The sequence below is a fragment of the Homo sapiens genome, chromosome 10 (assembly GCF_000001405.40).
Source record: "Homo sapiens chromosome 10, GRCh38.p14 Primary Assembly".
NCBI lineage: Eukaryota > Metazoa > Chordata > Mammalia > Primates > Hominidae > Homo > Homo sapiens.
Window position 1 is genome coordinate 11400257 of NC_000010.11, and position 9276 is coordinate 11409532.

Here is a 9276-nt window from a genome sequence, read left to right on the forward strand (position 1 = left end):
ATCCAGCTTAGAAACTAACAAACAGTAAGAGCATGGCAGGAGGCGGCATTCCTTTTCTTCCTTCTCTTTCCAAGAAACATCAGTGGCTCCTAAAGTCCATCCCATCACCCAAACATTTGGGCCCCCTTTGGTCTGGCCCCACCTTACCCACCTAGTCTGGACTGTCCTCCTATGCATCTTCCACCCCAGCCCAGCCAGCCTGCTCTCACCCGAGTTACGAACTTCCTCATCAACCATCACTTCCACAGCCCCCTTTATCTTAAAAGCCTCACGCTTCTTCTGCTTATTCCAATCCTACCTAAGACCCAGCTCAAATCCTTCCATTTCCCTGACCTCTTCAGACCTCATCTTCTTCCCATCCCATAAAAACCTGCCCGGGCACCCATACTTTGTTACAGCCATTTTCATGAACAACCACTCACCTGGGGAGAAGACACTTCAGGAACTGCTCTTTCAGAAGCTGCAATGGTCAGCAAACAGACCCTGGGCATGACAGTGCATGACAGTGGCTGTGGCAGAGCTGGCTTTAGGGTGTGTTTACGTGTGCGTACCTGGTGCACACACTCACACGTCTTTATATTTGTCTGTGTGTGTATGTGTATCTGTGGGTGCACGTGTACATGGGTGTGCATGCATGTGCTTGTGCGTATAGGGATCATACAGGTATGTAAGTGTGCACGTATGTGTCCGTGTGTGCATACTGGCATCTGTGCACGTGTGCACAAGCATTTGTGCATTCTTGCACATATATGTGTATGTGTGTGCATAGTCATATATGTGTGACTGTGTGTGCATGCACATGTGTGCATGTGTGCACACATGACCAACACCCTGCAGGAGGCCAGTCTCCCAGCCTGTCCTCTCTTAGAATCACTCAGCGTTCCTGAGGCTGTGCCCCTCCCTGAGACTTCAGCCACAACATGGGAGGACGACGACCCTAATCTTTGCAGAGATCCCATGACAGTCTCCCTGGGGCTCTCGGTTTTCTAAACCAGATGTGGCCCCCATCTGGAACAAAGAGAAAGCCATTAAATGACTAGAGAAAGCTTCCCCACCCAGATGTGGCAGTCAGGCCAGCAACCAAAGCTGAACTCAATGCAGAACTTCACGGTCAAAGAACCAGCCCACGGGCAGCAACGAGGTTAAACCCTCAGCAGGGATGGCCTCTGCTCCCCAGAAAAGGACAGCTCCGCCCAGCCACAGGGCCACCACAAAACCCAGAAAGGCAACTGATGCGCGAGGCCCACCCACGGCCCTCCCTGGCTCCCCGGGGCCTGTCTCCAGGCTGAGTCCACAGGCAGTTCCTGGTGACTGCTGTGCAGAAGGGAAAACGAACTCCCTTTCAAACAAAGCCCAACTGTGGGCTCTCATGGGAAGTGACAAAATTGAGCTTCAGGGTGGGTGATCTTTTGTTTTGGGGAAAAATGGGCTTTCTTGGGCTTTTGATAGGCTTTCTTGGGTCTTTTGGGTTTAAAAGACTTGCCTGCCCCTCCCTGCAAAGGCCTCACCCAGATAAAAGGGATTCAGTCAAAGCAGGATTGAAAGGCTCTGTGTAAAGAACTGCAATTCAAGCAGCAAGACTTGGATCTTTCCCTGGAGGACTGGGAGGCAGGGTGCTGGAATTAAGAAAAGGAATCAGGACGGCACCCCCAAGAAGAGGGGCTCCTGAGGACATGGACGGCTGCATTTCCAGTTGTCACCATCAGCAGGGCGATGAATCCGCCTCTGAAGTCAGCAGGAAGAGGCCCTGGGCTGGTGTGCTTCAGGGGACAAAGAAGTGGGCCACATCCCAGGGCTCTGGCCACACAGGAACTGAGGCGGGAGGAGCCTCAGAAAAGGAGGCTGCTGCAGCGTGGATTGTGGAAGGGTGGGGAGCGGACCCCCTGTTATTCTAGAGGAAAGCACCTCAGAATGCCTGGGGAGGGGCTGTGCTCTCTCTCCAGCTGAGTGTAAATGGGGTCTCAGGTTGCTTTACAGGATGTTAAAGGAACAGACACCCTCCCTACAAAATGTATATTCGACTTGGGAACATACTGATGACAAAGATTCTCTGCTTGGCTAAACTGTAATCAGGCTCCTGAACCTTCTCCGAGGCTCATCTGTACACCTCCTTATAAAATCCAGTTTCAGAAAGAACCCCCCACCCCAGACATCTGATCACCCTTGAGATCTGATCAGGGTCCTTCCTCATCCTCCACCACCCCCTAGGTGATGTGTGATCACCCTGGCCTGCTTTTGGCAAGAGCCCTGCAAGAGCTAAGTGTCCATCAACAGATGAACAGATGGAGAAACTGTGGTACCTATACACAATGGAGTACTACTCAGCCATGAAAAAGAATGAGATCCTGTAGTTTGCCACAAGGTGCGTGGAACTGGAGGTCAACATGTTAGGTGAATTAAGCCAAGCACAGAAAGACAAACATTATATGTGCTCGCTTATTTGTGGGATCTAAAAATCAAAACAGTTGAATTCAAGGAGATAGAGAGTAGAAGGATGGTTACCACAGGCTGGAAAGTGTAGTAAGGGGGTGCATGGCGAGATAAGGATGGTTAATAGCTACAAAAAAAATAGTAGAATGAATAAGGTCTAGTATTTAATAGCACAACAGGGCAATTATCGTCAATAATAATTGTACATTTAAAAATAAAGCATCACTGGATTGTTTATAACACAAAGGATAAATGCTTGAAGGGATACATACCCCATTGTTCTTGATGTCATTATTATGCATTGCATGCCTGTATCAAAACTTCTCATGTACCCCATAAATCTTGTAGGTACACCTACTAAGTACCCACAAAAATCAAATTAAAAAAAGAATCCTGCTAGGTGGGTTTGGCCAGAATCCCCCTTCCCTCTGATGTTCCTCTTAGTAATTCTCCATCCACCGACGCCCACTCCCCTTACGCTGCTCTGTGACTATAAACGCCACTGGCCCAGGCTGCATTCAGAGGTGAGCCCGATCTCTCTGCCCCATGGCACAACCCCACTGCTGCAGTCTCCATGTCTGTCACCACATCCTGAATGACGGCTTCCTTCCTGTGCTTTACTGAATGTCACTGAATCATTTTTTTCTTTAACACTAGGGCAGACAATTGGGGTGCAGGTGTTTACTGATTAAAGGAAGTGGCTGCTGGGGAAGGGGCTCTTTCCAACCGGCTGACGCGTGGCTCAGCACTGATCTTCAATAATGGGTCAACCACGCCCGGGGCTTGGTGGGGCTGAGAGCAGGAGGAGGTTCCCAGCAAGGATGCAAGCTAGAAGAAAACCTAGGCATTACCATTCAGGACATAGGCATGGGCAAGGACTTCATGTCTAAAACACCAAAAGCAATGGCAACAAAAGACAAAATTGACAAATGGGATCTAATTAAACTAAAGAGCTTCTGCACAGCAAAAGAAACTACCATCAGAGTGAACAGGCAACCTACAACATGGGAGAAAATTTTCACAACCTGCTCACCTGACAAAGGGCTAATATCCAGAATCTACAATGAACTCAAACAAATGTACAAGAAAAAAACAAACAACCCCATCAAAAAGTGGGCGAACGACATGAACAGACACTTCTCAAAAGAAGACATTTATGCAGCCAAAAAACACATGAAAAAATGCTCACCATCACTGGCCATCAGGGAAATGCAAATCAAAACCACAGTGAGATACCATCTCACACCAGTTAGAATGGCAATCATTAAAAAGTCAGGAAACAACAGGTGCTGGAGAGGATGTGGAGAAATAGGAATACTTTTACACTGTTGGTGGGACTGTCAACTAGTTCAACCATTGTGGAAGTCAGTGTGGCGATTCCTCAGGGATCTAGAACTAGAAATACCATTTGACCCAGCCATCCCATTACTGGGTATATACCCAAATGACTATAAATCATGCTGCTATAAAGACACATGCACACATATGTTTATTGCAGCATTATTCACAATAGCAAAGATTTGGAACCAACCCAAATGTCCAACAATGATAGACTGGATTAAGAAAATGTGGCACATATACACCATGGAATACTATGCAGCCATAAAAAATGATGAGTTCATGTCCTTTGTAGGGACATGGATGAAATTGGAAATCATCATTCTCAGTAAACTATTGCAAGAACAAAAAACCAAACACCGCATGTTCTCACTCATAGGTGGGAATTGAACAATGAGAACGCATGGACACAGGAAGGGGAACATCACACTCTGGGGATTGTTGTGGGGTGGGGGGAGGGGGGAGGGATAGCATTGGGAGATATACCTAATGCTAGATGACGAGTTAGTGGGTGCAGCGCACCAGCATGGCATATGTATACGTATGTAACTAACCTGCACGTTGTGCACATGTACCCTAAAACTTAAAGTATAATAATAATAATAAAAAGAAGGAAAAAAAAAAAAAAGAAACACGAGTCAGCGCCTGATAACACTAACTACTGCGCAGCCCCAGGTCAAATGCTAATGCCGGCCCCTGCTCCATCACAGGCTCCTGACAGCACCAGCACTCCCCCAGGTGCCAGCCCTGCCACTCCAGAGACCCCCGCACCCAGTCCCTCATGGCCCTGAGGCTCAGTTTCCCCACTGGTACCAGGGAGTCTTGTCCTCGCCCCACCCTCCAGGGAACAGATCTGACTGTGACAGACGCTGGTACACGTGCCGTGAAAACACACGACAGCTGCCTTGATTCCTAACATATAAATACAACGGGCTTTGTGCTTCTCGCCAGAGCAAGTGACATAGGCAGGCTCACCTCCCACAGCACGCCCTACCAGGCATCTCAGCCGGGGCACCTGAGCCACCGCAAAGAGGCAGGTGCCACCCGAGCCAGGCCTCCCAGGAGGCTCTGACTGCAGAATTCTTAAAGCATTCCTCCCTACCGAGTGCCGTGGAAATCCAGGCTCAGAACAGCCAGCTGAGGTTGCTTCCGCTGGAGTCCCAGGAGACTCTTTAACCTCAGCTTGCTGGTTTACTCCAATTATTTTTAAATGAGCCAAAGGCCGAGATCCTCTCCAGTGTTCTCAGGAAGGCTGCCATTGTCCATAGGAACAGAGCTTACTGAGTTATCACATCCAGACCCTGCATCCACACCAAGGCACACTCAGAGGACCCCAGAAAACATCACTGGACCAGGGCAGGCCAGTGACAAGGGCAGGCCAGTGAGGTGTTCCGGGTACAAACATGAGGGGCTACGCAAGACTCAAGCTAGTCTGGGGGTCTCCTAAGATCGTGCACCTGGACTCCTGACCTGACTCACCTAGACCCAGCCCCGCTGGGAAATAATCCTTTCCTTTTCTTATTTTTTGGGGACAGGGTCTGGAGTGCAGTGGTGCAAACATAGCTCGCTGCAGCCTCAATCTCCCAGGCTCAAGCAATCCTCCTTCCTCAGCCTCCCCAGTAGCTGGGACTACAGGTGGCCCCACTATGCCTGGCTGTTTTTTCATTTTCTGTAGATATAGGGTCTCACTATGCTGTCCAGGCTATTAATCCTTTCTTGTGTTGGATAATTTGTAGGTTCTGGGAGTCTTCCCTAACATTCATCCTAAATTCTTCTGCTTCAAACTGAACAAAGTTTGCAGTTCACATTGAAAGAGAGACAGAGAAAAGAGACAGAGAATGACAGAGATACAGAGAGACACTCCTGAACCCCCTGTGAGACACCCTGTGTATCATGCTTAGGTAGCTCTCTCCTCAATCTTACCTTCACTCCTTATTCTTCACAGCCTCGCCTCTCCAGATCCACTAGCAGGGTTCGCTCCAGGAGACTTCATGCCAGCATCTCCCTCCATCCTGAAGGGTTTCATTGTCCTTAGTACTATTTCATTCTGTGCGTCCCTCCACTCATTCTGTGCCTAGTGGCTGCAAAGCTCTGAATGGGGCACTGAGGACAGCAGGGTCATGGCAGACAGTGTCCGCCCCATGACCTTCATGAGCCCTTCCTCCAAAAAGAATGAAAATATTTCATGACTGTGTTGGTATAAAGACAAAGGTATACATATTATTATTTTTGAGATGGAGTCTCACTCTCTTGCCCAGGCTGGAGTGCACTGCCTCCCAGGTTCAAGCAAGTCTCCTGCCTCAGCCTCCCAAGTAGCTGGGATGACAGACACCTGCAGCCACACCAGGCTAATTTTTGTATTTTTGGTAGAGACAGGGTTTCGCCATGTTGGCCAGGCTGGTCTCAAACTCCTGACTTCAGGTGATCCACCCACCCTGGCCTCCCAAAGTACTGGGATTACAGGCATGATCCACTGCACCCAGCCTAAGACAAATGTATAAATATTAGCTATGACATTTTCTTCAACCTAAGAGTTCATTCTTTTCTTCTGATTTAAAAAAAAATGAAGATTAAAATATTTCTGTGAGCCCTTCCAAGTATCAGGGCTCCTAGGTACTGTGCCGTGGCAAAGGCAGCTGGCCTTGAGGAGGCCATGATCTCGGCCCTGACTGCACATTATGAGGTCCTGGGGGCTTTTAAAACCCCTATAACCCAAGTGGCACTCAAATCATGACATCAGAACCTCAGGGGATGGGACCCAAATGTCAGTAATTTTTAAAGCTCTTCAGTTGAGTCAAGTGTGTGGTCAAGGTCAAGAATCAACGGTCAGATGATGCCACCCTGGAAAGAGACAAAGGGATTGGGGGGCGTGGCCTGTGTGGGATGGGGGCAGTCAATGAAGAGCCAGCAGGCCTGGTGCAAAAGCCCTCCCAGGGCGGACTGGGGTGTGTTTCTCCCTCTGGGCCAGGATCCTTAGCCATCACTGGGGTTTGCAGGCATTTTATCACCCACTCCAACTTCCAAATTAAGTGTAAGCCGCTAGACTAGAGACATCCCCACAGCAGCACGGACCCTTAGAGGACATATGTTGTCTCTTTAAAAATTACACCACATTACACATAGAATTTACCATCAGAACCATTTTTAAGCATATAGTTCAGTGGTGGTATAGTTTGGCTAAGTCCCCACTCAAATCTCACCTTGAATTGTGATAATCCCCATGTGTCAAGGGCAGGGCCAGGTGGAGATAATCAAATCATGGGGGAGGTTTCCCCTGTACTGTTCTCATGGTAGTAAGTCTCAGGAGATCTGATGGTTTTACAAATGGAAGTTCCCCTGCACATGTCCTCTTGCCTGCCACCGTGTAAAACATCCCTTTGCTCTTCCTTCGCCTTCCACCATGACTGTGAGGCCTCCCCGGCCATGTGGAACTGTGAGTCCATTAAACCTCTTTCCTTTATAAATTACCCAGTCTTGGATATGTCTTTATTAGCAGCATAAGAACAGACTAATACAAGGGGCATGAAGCATATTCACCTTGTTATGCAACCATCATTGCCATCCACCTCCAGAACTGTTTCATCTTCTCAAATCGAAACTCTTGCACGCATTAAACAACTCCTCATCCCCTCTCCTTCCAGCCCTCAGCACGCACTATTCTACTTTCTGTCTCTATGATGTTTGACTACTCCAGGGGAGGACTCCTGTAAGTAGAATTATACAGTATTTATCCTTTTATGTCTGGCTTATTTCACTTAGCGTAATGTCTTCAAGGTGCATGTATGTTGTAGCATGGGTAGAATTTCCTTCCTTTTTAAGGCTGAATAATATCCCATTGCATGGATAGACCATGTTTTGTTTCACCACGAGTCTTGGTCTTTTTATCCACTGCCATATTGCAGCACCTAGAATGGTGCCAGCACACAGCAGGTGTCCAAGCACGGGCTAAAGGAATGATAGAAATGGAATAATCCATGTGAAAAGCATCTTTTGGGCACACAGTGAGCCTTCCAGTCATATTAGCCTTTGCTGTGATCAGCCACCTTCATTCCACTCATCATGTAAATGGGTTCACACACAGAGGGTGGGTCTCAGCATTGCCAGGAAGCCACTGCACTTCCTCTGGGCCACGCTGCTGTGCACACAGAGTGGGGCAGGAGAAGTGACAGGGTGGAATTGAATGTCACTGGTGCTTTTGAGCTTGGACCTGGAAGTTCTACCAGCTTCTCCCAGAGGAGCTGCTTCTTGGAGCCAGGCTGGTCCCTCTCACTTTAGTGACCTCTTTCTGAAGACCCACTGCCCTCAGCCACCCTTGGCCTCACTCGAGGACCCTCTACTTTCCTCACAGATGAACCAACCCTTCCAAGAAGGGCAGGTGCAACAGGAACCACGCCATGGGTGCATCATGAACTACATGAGAAGGATGCAGTGTAGGGGTCAAAGGATGGCCCTTGGCCCTCCCTTTATTTATTTTTATTATTTTAGAGACAGGGTCTTGTTCTGTCACCTGGGCTGGAGGACAGTGGCATGATCATAGCTTACTGAAGCCTCAAACCCCTGGGTTCAAATGATCATCCCAGCTTAGCCTCTGGAGTAGCTGGGACTACAGGCACTCAGCACCACACCCAACTAATTTCTACATGTTTTGTAGAGATGGGATCTTGCTATGTTGCCTAGGCTGGTCTCAAACTCCTATCCTCAAGCAATCTGCCCACCTAAACCTCTCAGAGTGCTGGGATTACAGGTGTGAGCCACCGTGGCTGAGCTATGTTTTAAATATTTTGTAGAGATTGGGTTTTGCTATCTTACCTAGGCTAGTCTTGAACTCCTGTCCTCAAGCAATCTGCCTACCTCAGCCTCCCAGAGTGCTGAGATTACAGATGTGAGCCACCACACCTGGCCTTGTTTTTAAATTGTTTATAGAGATGAGTTCTTGCTATGTTGCCCAGGCTGGTCTAGAATTCCTGTCCTCAACCAACCCTCCTGTCTCCGCCTTTGTTCCTCCCTTTCTACACCTGCAGAAAGCCTGGATTTTATATAGGTCATTTTTCATGACAGGGAGCAAGAAGCCATTTCCAATTCCTTTTTGAACAAATCCCAGGATATTAAGCTTCTCTGTCCCAAAGATGGTCAGCAGGCAGCCTGTCTTCCTTGTCACACTGTCATGATGTAGAGCCAGGCGCCAAGACAGTGCCAGCATCGAAGGCCGTGGCTCCAGCACACAGTGACACTGCGGGCTGGTGAGGTCTCTCGTGGGAGGCTGCTGCCAGGGAGCACAGGAAAGAGGATGTTATGTCTTTCCACAGAAAACTCCAGAACCTTTAACCCCCTGCCAGAGCCTCATGGCCCAGAGATTGACAGGGGCTGCTCTGTCTTCTGTTGTCAGAGTTGGACAGCTCAGCACGGCAACCTTTTGACACGAAGTAATAATTGTCAGAAGAGGGTGAGGGCTTTACCCGCTGAGAAAACGTGAGAGTGCCCCGAAGAGGAAAGTAGGCTCTGCCCATT